This window comes from Homo sapiens, chromosome 9 (genome assembly GCF_000001405.40).
Source record: "Homo sapiens chromosome 9, GRCh38.p14 Primary Assembly".
Classification (NCBI taxonomy): Eukaryota; Metazoa; Chordata; class Mammalia; order Primates; family Hominidae; genus Homo; species Homo sapiens.
In genome coordinates this window covers 15,652,247-15,669,235 of record NC_000009.12, presented here as the reverse complement: position 1 = coordinate 15,669,235, position 16,989 = coordinate 15,652,247, and the positions used below count along the sequence as shown (strand labels likewise).

At 37.7% G+C, this 16,989-nt stretch overlaps 1 protein-coding gene across 35 annotated transcripts in view; it reads right to left on the bottom strand.

Annotated features, from left to right (window-relative positions):
- Positions 1-16,989, bottom strand: part of CCDC171 (coiled-coil domain containing 171) — a 556,042-nt gene that overhangs the window by 439,691 nt on the left and 99,362 nt on the right. For all 35 annotated transcript variants that reach the window (XR_007061261.1, XR_001746227.3, XR_001746228.3 and 32 more), the window contains 2 exons: positions 12,017-12,109; positions 2,913-3,073 (listed from right to left, as the gene is read on the bottom strand). Coding sequence is in view for 30 of the 35 variants with exons in the window: in XM_047422930.1 (XP_047278886.1) it covers positions 2,913-3,073; positions 12,017-12,109 (254 nt within the window). In the remaining 5 variants the exon portion in view is untranslated. The remainder of the gene's footprint in view (positions 1-2,912; positions 3,074-12,016; positions 12,110-16,989) is intronic.

Below are 16,989 nucleotides of genomic sequence, written 5' to 3'. Positions count from 1 at the left end.
GATTATAGAATTATGGAATATATACATTCCATCTAAAATAATTTCATGTAGGAATGTCTACTGTTATGAAACTATGGACCAAAACTATAACTCTGCAATATACACACAGCTTTTTTTCTCCTGCCTTTAGTGAGATCCTGCCGAGGTCTGCCTGGCAAGAAACAGAAGCTTAAAGAACCTTAACCAATGGCAGGTTCAAGCATGATAAACTGCTACGTCAGTTCACAACAGGTAAAACAATATACTGCTCCAAAACTCCACATTCTCAAAGTTGTAAGTTAAAGGTATTATTTACCTTAAAGACCTAAAATCTATCAATTCTCTATTTGGAATACATTAACCAAAACTTAGAACTACTTTGAAACAACAGAATTTTTTTCAGAAATTCAGAATCTTCTTTAAAAAATATTTAAAAAATTCAGAATCATCTTTAAAAAAGGTTTTTTAAAGATGATTCTGAAGTATGGTCAGAAGTACAGGCAGAAAATGGAAAATGGAAGTACAGGTAGATCCCTCAAGTCACATCATTCCTTCTTATACTACAGATAGTAGGGATGGAAGTGGCTTTCATTTCACATACACGGAAAAGGAAGATGGGATGGAAAAGGAAAGTCACAGAAATTTTCAGTGATTATTGGGTTTAGTTATTACTTGTCATTATTTATTTATTATTATTTAACTTGTATTATTATGACAGTTATATACAGATGAAGAAGATATAAGGGACATTATGTTAAAGCATTAGGAGTGTTAGTTAGCTAGTGCCTAGTTGGAATATGTAACTAATGTTTAGAATTGTCAGTTGGTGCTTACTGGAATACTAAATTTGAGTAAAAATTTTCAAGTACCAAAATACAAATAACAGCAAAACAAAACTTAAGGAAAAAAACTGCTTTGGGGTCCAATTAGGAAAGTATATAGGTTAGACTCAGAGCTTAAGTGTTAGCAAGTAGGTTAAAATTCCTCCAGTCCAATCTTTATAAGACTCTCTTCTTCAACATCCATGACAGAGAATCATCCACTCTGTGTTTTGAATTTCCCAAGGCAGGGAACTCACTAGTTCCCTGAAAGATGTCTATTATTTCATTGCTAGAAAGCTTTAATTATTGGGAGCTCATTCTGACTTCTTACAGTTTTACTTGTAGGTCCTAATCATTACCTTAAAGCAAAAGTAAAGAAATCTGCACTATATTCTACATAAAAGCCTTTCAAATAGATTTATATGCAGAATAATATTTGAATACATATTTGAATAATATTTGAATACATTCAAATGTATTAAATGTATGCATTCAAGCAATGGTTCAAAGAACATAAAGGATAAATAAGTCCTTAGAATAACATTCACAGAATGTCATTTAAGTCATACTAGAGGGAAGCAAGGAAATTCAGTTAAGAATTATTGGTTTAAAATATTATAAGCATTATTAATTAAAGAAACAAACAGTTTAAGAGTTTTTAATGTTTTCAGTCTTTCAGGTGCAATCTTCGTGATTTTTGTCACACTCACAAAAATTACCGCTATTTAAATCACACTTTCACTTAAGTTAACTCACTTCTTATAATAAATGAAGCTTTTCTCTTTTTTTTGAGATGCAGTCTCCCTCTGTTGCCCAGGCTGGAGTGCAATGGCGCGATCTCAGCTCACTGCAACCTCTGCCTCCCGGGTTCAGGTGATTCTTCTGCCTCAGCCTCCCAGGTAGGTGGGATTACAGGTGCCCGCCACCACACCTGGCTAATTTTTTTATTTTTAGTAGAGACAGGGTTTCACCATGTTAGCCAGGCTGGTCTCGAACTCCTGAACTCAGGTGATCTACCCGCGTCAGCCTCCCAAAGTGCTGGGATTACAGGTGTAAGCCACCGTGCCCAGCCAATAAAGCATTTTAAAAGGGATCTTTATATTGTGGCTATAAATGGAAAACCATTATCTACTTGCCATAAATAGAAACTAAGATTAAAATATAATTCTAATATGCCAATGTATTATCATGCCACATACTAATGGTAGTATGAATTTCACCCTCTGGGGGGGGAAATGGTTTAAAATGTCTACTATTGACTTATTTTTGGAAACATATTAATGCATTATAAACTTCTTAAATCATTTCACAGAATTTTGAAGATGAAAGGCTTTTAAACTGAAAAAGGTTAAAATCAGTAGGAGTCAGAAAGATTCTAATTCTGCCACTTAGGAGCTGTATGTCCTTACTCTTGTTTAGCCTCAATTTCCACATCTGTAAAAGAGATTTTTTAAAATACCTTCCTCATACGGTGTTAGACAAATGAAACTGCAATGCTAGGTATGAAGTGAGCCACAATGCATGTTGGCCACTATTAGTAGTAGTGTTACTGCTATTATTATTATTTCTGTAGTTTGAGAAAATGTCAAATATTATCCATCTTCATATAGACCATTTTATGTGACTTAGAAATCTTAGCCCCAGATCTTAGCCTTAGATCATAGCTCACTTCAGCCTTGAACTCCCGGGCTCAGGTGATCCTCCCACCTCAGCCTCTCGAGTAGCTGGGACTACAGGTGCACACCACTATACTTGGCTAATTTTTTTATTTTTTTTGTAGAGACAAAGTCTCACTATGTTGCCCAAGCTGGTCTTGATACTTAAAGATATTGCGTTACATCACTCATATAATACAAACTACATTAATGTATTTACTTTCTAGTTTATTACTCAATTTCTTGGGCTACTTGGAATATACTTCAATATCCAAAAGAGCATTTCCATTTTTACCTATACAGGAAAGTATAGTTATGTTTTATGAAGTCACTTGCCCCAGTCTACCACTGACATTAATGGGAGCTATATCTAAAATACATAGTATACATTCATATTTTATATAGCTCTTTTAAAATCTTTATGTTAATTTAGAGAATTTTACAATAGAATACTTACAAATTTAGTTTTGCAAAGCTCTCTTGTGCATTATGCTTTTCTCGCTCATATGCACTTTCAACTTCTTTGAATTCATTCTTGATAATTTCCAAATCAGCAACAGCTTCTGCTTGACTGGCCTTCTCTACTTGCAAAGCTCCTTCAAGGTCTCGAATCCGTAACTACCGGACGACAGACAAGTAATTAAATCAAGCTAAGAAATGCTAGCATCAATCTTAAATTGAGTAGAATACTTTGTCAGTAACAGATTATCATTCATCCAAGCACTTCTTTCTTTCTGCTTTGGCTTAAAAAAGAAAAATAAATAAAAGACAGTTTATTCCCTTTCTCAATATGTTTAAATGAAAGGAGAAAGAGTAGAAGAATGAAGAGTTAACTGTGTTATGAAAGATAGGCTGGTACAATATAACCCATTCTATCAAAGAAAAATAGATATGTAGATACAACTCAATCTAAATTTTCAAAGTTTCAAATTTTTACCTACTAATCCATTCAGATACTTCTTTTATAAAATATAATAAATTAAATGTTTGGGTTTTTTAAGAGACAAGGTCTCACTTTGTCACCCAGGCTGAAGTGCAGTAGTGTGATCATAGCTCACTGCAGCCTTGAATTCCTGGGCTCAAGTGATCCTCCCACCTCAGCTTCTCAAGTAGCTGGGACTACAGGTGCACACCACCACACCCAGCTAATTGTTTTATTTTTTGTAGAGATAGGGCCTTGCTATCTTGCCCAGGCTGGTCTTAAACTGTTAGCTTCAAGTGATCCTCCCACCTTAGCCTCCCAAAGCACTGAGATTACAGGCATGAGCCGCTGCTCCTGGCCTGGTTTTTGAAAACTAAAGGGAAGTATTCTTCCTCTCTTACAAGAAACATTATTACATGAGTATCTTTATAAGCCTAAGAAATTTAACAGATCTTTTTATTCCTGAGATTTCTTACTATAGAAAAGTGATCTTCTTATTGTCAAACAATACTATTTGACTGAAATATTTATGGTTATCGTTATTTGATATCTGGGATTTACTTCAAAATAGTCTGGAGGCAGCCGGCGCCTGTAGTCCCAGCTACTCAGGAGGCTAAAGAGGGAGGATCGTTTGAGCCAGGGAGTCAGAAGCTGCCGTGGGCTGTGATTGCACCACTGCACTCCAGCCTGATTAACAGTGAGACCTTCCCTCAAAATAAAAAATTTAAAAAAAAATGTTTAGGTCTGAAACTGGGAGAGTTCCAGGAGGTAAGAGATAAAACACCATTGACGTGAGTAAAGTATTGAAGCTGGGCGATGGGTATGTGGGAAGTTCATTTTACTATTTTACTTTTGCATATACTTGAAATTCTACATAAAAAGACATTTTAAAACTATACTCCCAGGCCAAGGTGGGCAAATCACCTGAGGTCAGGAGTTCGAGACTAGCCTGACCAACATGGAGAAACCCCGTCTCTACTAAAACATACAAAATGAGCCAGGCGTGGTGGTGCGTGCCTGTAATCCCAGCCACTAGGGAGGCTGAGGCAGGAGAATCACTTGAACCTGGGAGGCAGAGGTTGCAGTGAGCCGAGATCACGCCATTGCACTCCAGCCTGAGCAACAAGAGTGAAACTCCGTCTCAAAAAAAAAAAAAAAAAAAAACAAAACTATATTCCCTGTGTCCACCAACCATAGGATGAATAAACAAGAGATTCCAACAAAATAATTATATGTAGCTGTAAAAAGGCTACAAAACAACTCGTGTGAGTGTGTGTGTGTGTGTGTGTGTATAAATTTAAGGGCCTACAGGCCAAGCACAGTGGCTCATGCCTGTAATCCCAACACTCCGGGAGGCCAAGGTGAGCAGATCATTTGAGCTCAAGAGATTGAGACCAGCCTGGGAAACATGGTGAAACCCCATCTCTACAAAAAAAACAAAAATCAGCTGGGCGTGGTGTCACGCGTTTGTAATGCCGGCTACTTGGGGGACAGAGGCGGGCAGATCACTTGAGCTGGGGAAGTCAAGGCTGTAGTGAGCCAAGATCGCACCACTGCACCCCAGCCTGGGTTACAGAGCAAGAACCTGTCTCAAAAATAAATAAATTAAGGTGTAAAAGTGTAGTTTTGTTACCTGGATATATTGCATAGTGGTGAAGTCTGGATTTTTAGTGTAACCAACACCCAATAGTTTACACTGTACCCATTAAGTAATAGCTCATCCCTCAACCCCATTTCCAGCATCCCACCCTTTTGAGTCTCCAGTGACTATTAATCTACACTCTATGTCCATATGTACACATTATTTAGCTCCCAATTCTAAGTCAGATCATGTGGTATTTGACTGTTTCTGAGTTGTTTCGCTTAAGATAATGGCCTCCAGTTCCATCCATGTTGCTGTAAAATACATGAGTTTATTCTTTTTTCAAAACAACTACTAAAAAGAAAATTCTCAGCCGGGCGCGGTGGCTCACGCATGTAATCCCGGCACTTTGGGAGGCCGAGGCAGGCGGATCATGAGGTTAGGAGATCGAGACCATCCTGGCTAACACGGTGAAACCCCATCTCTACTAAAAGTACAAAAAAATTAGCCAGGTGTGGTGGCGGGCGCCTGCAGTCCCAGCTACTCAGGAGGCTGAGGCAGGAGAATGGCATGAATCTGGGAGGCAGAGCTTGCAGTGAGCCAAGATCGCGCCACTGCACTCCAGCCTGGGTGACAGAGCGATACTCCCTCTCAAAAAAAAAAAAAAAGAAAAAAAAAGAAAATTCTCTATGTAGTTCTCCACATAGTGTTCAAGAACAATGTATTGCTAACATATGTTGAAAATAGCAGGTTCCACATCAGCGTATATAGTATGCTACATTTGGCGTAAATAAGTGAAAAGAATAAAAATAAGCAGGCAGGAGGGTAGAGGAATGGGAGGGACAAGAATAAAGCAAGAACTCTTGATCTAATATTGTTTTAATTTTTTAACTCTGTAGATAGTTTACCTTTTCAGAAAATAAAGTTTAAAAGAAAAATAGTTTCTTTTTAGAAAATAGTTTAAAGACGGGGTGGGGATAGAAAAAAAATGCTTCACATTAGACAGAAAATGGGCTTTAGAACCATAAAACTTGGGTTTGACGCTGTGCAAACATAACAGATATTAGAATAAAACAAACAAACCAACAAAACTCAGGCTGAATCCCAGATCTACAAAATTAACTAATGCGACTTTGGGCGTATTACTAAAACTCCAAATATTTGAGGCTTCTCATCTATAAATAGTGAATAATAATAATGTCAACTAGACTATCTACTTTGCGGGGTGGCTACAAGGATCTAATCAGGCAATTTGTTGTTGTTGTTGTTGTTGTTGTTGTTGTTGTTGTTGTTGTTGAGACGAAGTCTCGCGTTGTCCCCCAGGCTGGAGTGTAGTGGTGCAATCTCAGCTCACTGCAACCTCCGCCCCCTGGATTCAAGCGATTCCCCTGCCTCAGCCTCCTGAGTAGCTGGGATTACAGGTGCCTGCCACCACACCCAGCTAATTTTGGTATTTTTTTTTTAGTAGAGATGGGGTTTCACCATGTTGGCCAGGCTGGTCCCGAACTCCTGACCTCCAATGATTTGCCCACCTCAGCCTCCCAAAGTGCTGGGATTTCAGGTGTGAGCCACCGTGTCCAACTGGCAATGTTTATTTAATCAATATTTATTAAGTACTTAATATATGCCAGTCAATATCCTAATGCTCAAGATACATACAATAATGAAACTACACAGTCTTAGATCTTGAGGAGCTGATAGGTTTTAAGAGAACATAGACTGCGAAATAATATGGTATATGCTTCCTGTGACAGATGCATGCACAAAGGTCCTGAATTCAGAGAAAAGTTACGGAACTCTGTGTGAGGCAAGCGTCACAGGAATGGCAACACACAACCTGAGTTAAGAAAGATAAACTCACCAGGAAATGAAGCCTAAGACACTATGAAAATGTTTCAACATTAATCCATAAAAATGATAATCACCAGAATTATTTTTAATTATCCAAAATTTCTGGAATAATTGAAATGTTTATTCTTTTTTGGGGGGGAGGGGGGATGGGGACAGAGTCTCACTCTGTCACCCAGGCTGGAGTGCAGTGGCACGATCTCGGCTCACTGCAACTTCCACCTCCCAGGCTCAAGCAATTCTCATGCCTCAGCCTCCAGAGTAGCTGGGACTACAGGCATGCGCCACCACACCCAGGTAACTTTTGTATTTTTAGCAGAGACGGGGTTTCGCCACGTTGGCCAGACTGGTCTGGAACTCCTGGCCTCAAGTGATCTGCCCACCTCAGCCTCCCAAAGTGCTGGGATAACAGGTGTGAGCCACTGCACCTGGCATGAAACGTTTATTCTTATACTAAACTAAGGGAGTAAAATAGGTAGATACAACTCGATTTAAATTTTTTAATTGTACCTCTTAAACTCTATTTTTCTTTGTTATTTTGTCTAAATCCAATGTTTGTAAGCCAAACAGTAAATCTGGGGAATATTTTCTTCTTGTCTACATTGCTACCTTCTTTTAGAAAATAAGCACACTCAATCACAAATGGTAAACCAATCAATTGAAAGAAAAATAGACTACAAAATAACAAATTTGAGTCAACTCTTTTAAGTCTGCTTTCTCATTTTTATGCCAAAATATACAAACAATAACAAATTTCAAATACATATTCAACAGTAGTTTATAAGATGGTGATTAGTTATAGCTACTTAGTACTCTACTTTCCATTAAACTGCTCTGAAACCGAAAGGTAGTAGATGTACCTCATTGAAAATACTTGTAAATATTTATAGATTTATGATTCAAATATAAACTTTTCACTTTTTCTAAGTCATAGCACTGAGATATCAAATATTAATTTTAAACCATATAAGTAAAAAATAGGTAATAATTTTCTTATTTATAGTAATTAACTATATATTCCCAGGGATGTATCACAACTACAATGAAAAACCTAATTTTGAAATTACATTTTTTTCATGAATTTAAAACTTCAGCCTATTACTAAAAAGTCAAAAAACAGCATGTTACTTTTTTTTTTTTTTTTTTTTTGAGACGGAGTCTCGCTCTGTCGCCCAGGCTGGATTTCAGTGGTGCAATCTCTGCTCACTGCAGCCTCCACCTCCTTGGTTCACGCCATTCTCCTGCCTCAGCCTCCGGAGTAGCTGGGACTACAGGCGCCCGCCACGACGCCCGGCTAATTTTTTGTATTTTTAGTAGGGATGGGGTTTCCCCGTGTTAGCCAGGATGGTCTCGATCTCCTGACCTCATGATCCACCCGCCTCGGCCTCCCAAAGTGCTGGGATTACAGGCGTGAGCCCCCGCGCCCGGCAAAAAAACAGCATGTTAAGATGCTGGTGAGGCTGCTGAGAAAAGGAAATGTTTATATATTATTGGTGGGAATGTAAATTAGTTCAGCCACTGCGGAAAGTGGAGTGGAGATTTCTCAAAGAACTCAGAACTACCATTTGATCCAGCAACCCCATTACTGGGTATATATCCAAAAGAAAATAAATCATTCTACCAAAAAAACACATGCACTTTTATGTTCATCACAGCACTATTCACAATAGCAAAGACATGGAATCAACACAGGTGCTCATCAATCAATGATGGATTGGATAAAGAAAATGTGGTACATACTTACCATGGATTACTACGCAGCCATAAAAAAGAACAAAATCATGTCCTATGCTACAACATGGATGCAGCTGGAAGCCCTTATCCTAAGCAAATTAACAAAGGAACAGAAAACCAAATACCACATGTTCTCACTTATAAGTAGAAGCTAAATACTGGATACTTGTGGACATAAAGACGACAGCAATACACACTGGGGACTACTAGAGGGAAAAGGGCAGGAAGGGGGCAAGAGTTGAAAAATTAACAATTGGGTGCTATGCTGAATACCTGGGTGACAAAATCAATCATGCCCCAAACCTCAGCATCAGGCAATATACCCAGGTAACAAACTACACATGTACCCCCGGAATCTAAATAAAAGCTGAAATCATAAAAGGAAACAAAGAAAAGAAAAGAAAAAGAAAACTTCAGTCTTATTACTTATTGATGCCACTTTAGTGACCTGATCTTAAAGAAAAGTATGTAAGTTTGCTTTAACAAACAGACATGCTCAAATATAGGGATCTGAGAATTTTTAGGTAAAAAGAACATTTCATTAAAGTCAAAAGTAAAAACATAAATTTTAATACCAAATCTTTACAAATACAGTTGTATCTTACATTGGGAGTTCTTTAAACAATAAGGTAAAACACTATAAATTGCATTAATTAAAACAAGATAGGAAAAAAGTGTAAGTCTTTAAAAATGTAAATTAAATTAAGTAATTTAGACATATTGAAAGCAGTAGCTTTTAATATAAGTAGCCTTTGATGTAGATATCAAATCTAAGTTTTAGAAAAATAATTCTGGTAACTAACATTGGCAAATAAAGTAACGGAGTGGTGATAGGAGGTTGGGTGAAAAGATAATAAACACCTAAATCAAGGCAATAACTTTTTTAGTCTAAACTAGTTTTAATCTATCTGCTTATAGCTACTTTTCATTTACTGATTTTGGCAATCCCACCATCCTACTTGATATGAAATTCAAGAGCACAAATAAAGTGAGATGATTTTCAAACTTGCTAAAGCCAAATAAGCTTAAAACTACTTTTTCTTCTGGAAATAAGTGCATATATTTTATTTTCATACAGTCTATTACATTTGTTCACAAAGTAGTGCTCAAATGTAATAACTGACCAGCTAAATAACATGAAATAAGAACATCTTAACAGTTTATACTGAGAATCTAAGTTCATAAAGATACTTTCTACCTTCCTAGATTTAAGCAAACAAAAATACTATTATAGGTATACAATCTTCATTAAAGTTAATCTCTTTAACAGAAGCATAACAAATACCATATTTATTAGATTTTAAAGCATATTATCAAATGCTGAGAAAACATTTAAGCGAAAAGTCATAACTGTCTATAAAATATTAAAATCAAGAAAGTAGCAGGTCCAACAAATCTCCTCCTATGTAATTTCCTTAACTTTCCTAACACCTGGGAAACTGGCTGATCCAAGATAAGCTACCGGCAGTTGCTTGAGAGAATATAAAGAAAGGATCTGTTCACAAAAAGCAGGATGTCAAGAGTAAATGTACATTGTTCAGGTAACTTTGCATGACCATATCCTCAAAGGGCACTATGAACCTCTTAAACTGCTCCTCAAAGTCAACATGTTCAAAACTTACCATTGTCTCTCTTCAGACTTCAGAGTTTGACAGTCAACTGCATCTGCCCACTTTCACACATACTGCAAACCTTGGTGTTCTCTTCTATTGCTCCTTCCCTCCCCTCACACTGCAAATTAGTTACCTAAAATCATGCATTCTCAGTTTGTCCCCTGTACCTTTCCAATCACTGCTATTACCAATTACCACAAATTGGCAATTTAAAACAACATAAATGTATTATCTTACAGTTGTGGAGGTCAAAATTCTGAAATGGGTCTTCTGGGGCTAAAGTCACGTGTCAGCAAGACTCCATTCCTTCTGGAGACTCTAGGGAAGAAATCTTGTCTTGCCTTTTCTAACTTCTGGAGGCCACCCACATTCCTGGGTTCATGGTGACCTACTCTGACCTCTGCTTCTGTCATCACATCTCTGCCTCTGACTGTGACCCTCCTGCCTCCCTGTTATAAGGACTCTTATGATTACATCAGTCTCAACTAGATAAACTGGGACAAACTCCCATCTCAAGATCCTCAAATAAATCACATCTGCAAAGTCCCATTTGCCATGTAAGGTAACATATTCACAGGTTCTGAGGATAAGGGCAGATGTGGACATCTTTGAGGGACTGTTATTCTGCCACAGGAGCCCTCTTTTCCATTGCTACAGTCGTTGTCTTGATTCAGGTGTTCATCATCTCTTCACCCAGCCTCCTATCTTCACTCCCTTCCTTTATCTACCAATATGGCACCAGAGTTATTTTCCTAAACTTAGATTTCATATCTGTCTGTCCCAAAAGCTGCAGTGGCTTTCCATTGCTTTCAAAATAAGTCTAAGTTTCTTAGCACGAAAAAGGACTTCCATAATTAGTCTTCATCATGCCTTCCCACCATTATCTCCAAACTTTTCCCTAAGCTCTACCACTCAACACTGCAAGTATTCCTCAAAAATAAACAAGTACATTTTATTTAGTGGCTTTATCCAAGCAGTTGTTCAGAACAGTGGTCAGTAAACATTTTCTGTAAAGGGCCACAGAGTAAATATTTCAGTTTTTGTGGACCATAAGGTCTGTCTCGACAAGCACCCATAAACAATATGTAAACAAATGGGCATGGCTATCTTCTAATAAAACTTTACAGAAAAAGGCTGCAGGTCAGACTTGGCCCATGGGCAGTAGTGTGCCAACCCCTAATAAAATGCCCTGCTCTCACTTCTCTTAGAAATTCCTTCTCATTCTCTAAAGCATAGCAAAAAGGATAATTTCCTTAGGAGGCCTCCATTTAATTCCCCTCCCAGATTTAATCCTTTTCTTTATTATATTCCCATTGTATTTCAGTATTTTGTACTTCTATGTAAGCATCTATATATCTGGAGATAGATATATAGTATCTCTGACAACAAAATGTAAGTTACAAAAGGAGCTCATTCATCTTTACACCTTCAGCTCTTAATACAGTGATATGCATAGGATATGCACTCAATAAATAACATGCACATTTTTTCAACGTTCTCAAAAAGAAATCCATCCCACAGCCGTAAAAGAACACTCCAATCTGCAAATTTCTTTGCAGACTGCCAGGTAAGTTCTCTGTCACAACTACTCCACTCTGCCACAAAAGTAGCTATGGACAAGACAAAACTTCACAAGAACAGACAGTGGGTGAGACCTGGCCTGTAGGCTATAGTGTGCCAACTCCTCCACTAAGGTAGCATATCTCAACTGTATCCTAACCTTATATACAATAATGAGTGTCATAACAATATGTTACCCATTCTCAATGCACACCTTCGTTCTCTGAACACAGTGCTGTTTTTCCCAGCTGTTATAACACAAATTAAGAAAATGCAGGCCAAAATATTTGTTTACATTTTACCTGAATAATTTCAGAATTAAATTTTGATTCCAAATGCGCTGCTCTTTCTGCTTCAATGTTTTCTTCTAATTTCCTCACTCTTAGAGTAGTTGCCTGAAAACAAATTAAAAGTTTAAATTCATAAACATTGGTATTTAAAGAAGATATGGATCACTACAGTCCAGCATTATAATTAACACTTTAGATTAGTGGACTTGCAGCCTCATTTTTTTTTTTCTTTGCAAGAATGGAATGTAAAATTCATGCTCAGGAAGAATGCTTCCAGAGCCTGCTTTTTTTTCTTTACACTTTATAGAGGTATAACTTACATATAATAACCTACACATAGTGAAAATATACTTTTTGATAAATTTTTATACACACACACACACAAACACGTACACATCCATTAAATCACTGCCACAATCAATACAGGAAACATTTCCATCACTCTTAAAAGATTCCTTATGTCTCTTGGTAATGCCTTCCTCCAGCCCTCACCACCCCACCACATACCCAAGTAATCACGAATCTGCTTTTTGTCACTACAGAGAGGTTTGCATTTTCTGGAGTTGTATATAAATTGAATCATATATTATGCTTTTTATTGCCAGGCTTCTTTCCCCTTACATAATTATTTTGAGACCCATCCATGTGGTTGCATGCATCAATAGTTCATTCATTTTCACTGTTAAATAGTGTTCCACTTTATTAATAGACCACAATTGGTTTATCTGTTCACCTACTGATGGACATTTGACTTGTTTCCAGTTTAGGCAATTACAAATAAAGCTGCTATGAGCATTTGTGTGCAAGACTTTGTAGAGACACACACTTTCATTTCTCTGGGGTAAATAGTGAAGAATGGAATGAATGGGTGAAATGACAGGTACATATTGATTTGTTTTTTTTTTTTTTTGAGACGGAGTCTCGCTCTGTCACCCAGGCTGGAATGCAGTGGCGCCATCTAGGCTCACTGCAAGCTCTACCTCCCGGGTTCATACCATTCTCCTGCCTCAGCCTCCCAAGTAGCTGGGACTACTACACGTACCGGCCACCACGCCCAGCTAATTTTTTATATTTTTAGTAGAGACGGGATTTCACCGTGCTAGCCAGGATGGTCTCGATCTCCTGACCTCGTGATCTGCCCGCCTCGGCCTCCCAAAGTGCTAGGATTACAGGCGTCAGCCACCGCACCCAGCCATATTGAATATTATGAAACTGCCACACTGTTTTCCAAAGCGATGGTGCCAATTTAGATTACTAACACCAATTTTTGAAATTTTCCATTGTTCCACATCCTCACCAACACTTGCTACGGTCATTTTCTGTTTTTGGTTTCTTGAGGTTTTATAGACAATCAAATAGGCATGTAGTGGTTATCTCATTTTAGTTTTAATTTGCATTGCCCCAATGACTAATGACACTGAGCATCTTTTCATGTACCTATTTGCCAACTGTGTATCTTCTTTGAAGAAGTATATGTTCAAATATTTTCACCATTTTTTAATTGAGCTGTTTATTTTCGTATTACTGAGCTTTAAAAGTTCATTATACAATCTGAAAACAAGTCCTTTGTTAGATACATGATTTGCAAATGTTTTCTCCCAGTCTACGTCCTGTCTTCTCCTTCTCTTAACAGTATCACTTGCAAACCAAAACTTTTCATTATGATGAAGTCTAATTTATCAGTTTTTCAGGCAAGAGTCAGTTTCTGGACAGAAGCAGAAGTCAAGATCTTTATTTTTGAATACAATTTTTGTTCAGAAAATGCACCCCTGGGAAGTAGCGGATTACTAGTCCCAAAAAGGGAATCGGTCATGACCAAGAATCTGTTCGGGACAGAAAAACAGAACTATGGGAACATCCAGCATGTCTCAACATAACAGTAGCAAAGAAAAGCCATGCCTAGAGTCCTATCTGTCAATGGGGTAGTTCAATAGGGACAGAAAAAGGCATTACTAATTTGATTTCCCTTCCTAGATGAAATTTGGCGAAAAAATAAATTAATATTCATTATATTTACTAAACCATTTACCCTAAGCCAAGTTTTTTTTTTTTATACTTTAAGTTTGAGGGTGCATGTGAACAATGTGCAGGTTAGTTACATAGGTATACATGTGCCATGTTGGTGTGCTGCACCCATTAACTCGTCATTTAACATTAGGTATATCTCCTAATGCTATCCCTCCCTGCTCCCCCGACCCCACAACAGGCTCCGGTGTGTGATGTTCCCCTTCCTGTGTCCATGTGTTCTCATTGTTCAATTCCCACCTAAGAGTGAGAACAGGCGGTGTTTGGTTTTTTGTCCTTGCAATAGTTTGCTCAGAATGATGGTTTCCAGCTTCATCCATGTCCCTACAAAGGACATGAACTCATCTGTTCATATCCTTCACTCTGCTTCGGCTCACGCTCAGTGCACTGCACCCACTGTCCTGCACCCACTTTCCAACACTCCCCAGTGAGATGAACCCAGTACCTGAGTTGGAAATGCTGAAATCACCCGTCTTCTGCGTCGCTCACGCTGGGAGCTATAGACTGGAGCTGTTCCTATTCGGCCATCTTGGCTCCACCCCCTTAGCCAAGTTTTTATTAATGTTCAACTTGATTAATCTGACTTTCCTTCTCTCCCACCATTTCTTTTTGTTTACAGACAAAGATGGTAATGGATCACAATGAAAAGAAATAGAAATAAAAACTGAATAATCCACAAACTAATCAAGCAGTCTGTGAATAACTTAGAAATGACTATACTTCTTTCTGGGCAAATCATTCCCATAATGACTATCATAGTGCAGAGCATAAACACAAACATCCCTTCTTCTCTAGAGGCCTTTGTAGATGCACCTGGTTCTGATGGCCTTCACAGTCATGGAGTAATCCTGCTTCAGGATATAATCACTCTGTGTTTTGCAAACATGAAAATCACAAAATATTCTTTTACAATGAACTATTTGCTTTATTTAGATTCTACAACCCTATGGAAAATATTTCTTAATGAGCTATTATACTAGAAAATAGTTTTGGTTTTTTTTTTTTACAGAAAGCAATAAATCCAAATATGATCCTTTTGGGTCTCAAGGTAATTTAAATCCAAAGGATAAAATAATACTTTGAATAAAATCTGACATTTATAATTTATACTACTAGAGTATTTAAAAATAACAGGCATTCCGCTGAAAGGTGAAACTAGTAAATATTCACAGTTTTGTCTGAAGACTCAAAACACTCTGAAAACCAAGAAATGAGGACATTTGGATATCTGATGTAACTAAGGAATTATTATTACTTTTTAGGTGTGATAATGATTAGAATTTTTTTAAACCCCAATCTTTGGGCCAGGCACAGTGGCCCCCGTCACTTTGGGAAGCTGAGGTGAGAGGACTGCTTGGGGCCAAGAGTTTGAGACCAGCCTGGGCAACAGAGAAAAACTGCATCTCTATAAAAGAATTAACTAAGTAAATTTTTTTAATTAATAAATAAAATAAACCCTTATCTTTTAAAAAATACATACTAAAGTGTTCAGGGATGAAACTATATAATGTCTAGATATGGTTTAAAATAATCAAACTGGGAGTTAGGGGTGGGGGTTAGTGTTCATAAAATAAGATTGGTCATAAGCTGATAACTGTTGAAGCTAAATCATAGGCACTTGGTTCACTATAATATTCTTTCTACTTTCATGTATGTGTGAAATTTTCCATATTGAGAAACATTTTTTAAACAACAAAAGCAAAGTTATTAAAGTTAAGGGGGTAGTATGGCAATGGTATCATTATTTACCCAATTAACAAAATTAGGCCAGGCACAGTGGCTCACACTTGTAATCCCCACACTTCAGAAGGCCAACTCAGGGAGATCACTTGAGCCCAGGAGTCCAAGGCCAGCCTGGGCAACATGGTGAAGCACCAATTCTACAAAAAAAATTCAAAAATTAGCCAGGCATGGTGATGTGCACCTGTAGTCCCAGCAACTTGGGAGGCTGAGGTGGGAGGATCACTTGAGCCCAGGAAATCAAGGCTGCAGTGAGCTGTCATGGTGCTACTGCACTCCAACCTAGGCAAGAGGAACGAGACCCCAGCTAAAAATATATAGGTATATATTTTCACAATGACAACAACAAAAAACCACTAGAATGAATTAAGACTTTCACGACTAAACAGAAAAAGTAAATGGGAAGTGGGAGTTTAACTCAAACTATTCCTACATATATTGCTGACGTGATAAGATAAGGCAAAGAAAATATTCCCCACATAGTCACTTTTTTCCCACCCTTCTCAAAAAATGTTTCCACAGAATACCAGTCCCACAGGATGTTCTTAGCTATTATATAAAAAAGCAATTACATCATCAGAAGCATGTGAGAAACACAAAATTAAGCCAAACAATTTTCTTTACTAAAGACTTATCAAAACGTTAACATGACAATCTTGAAAAAGAAGAATAAAGATGGAAGACATATGTCATAATTGCAAAACTCACTACAAAGCTACAGTGATCAGCTGAGCATGGTGGCTCACGCCTGTAATCCCAGTGCTTTGGGAGGCCAAGACAGGTGGACAGCTTGAGCACAGAAGTTCAAGACCAGCCTGGGCAACATAGTAAAACCCTGTCTCTATCAAAACAAAAACAAAAAACAAAAATTAGCCAAGTGTGGTGGTGGCCACCTGTAAACCCAGCTACAAGGGAGGCTAAGGTGAGAGAATGGCTTGAGCCTGGGAGGCAGAGGTTACAGTAAGCAAAGATTCAGCCAGGTGACAGAGCCAGACTCTGTCTCAAAAAAAAAAAAAAGCTACAATAATCAAAACAATGTGGTACCAGCAAAAGGATACACATATAGATTCATATAGATCCACAGAAAGGAACTGACAGTCCAGAAATAAACTCATGAATGGGTGGTCAATTTATTTTTGACAATGGTGCCATCACCACTCAATGGAAAAGATTCATCTTTTCATTAAATGATGCTGAGACAATTGGATATAAATAGGCAA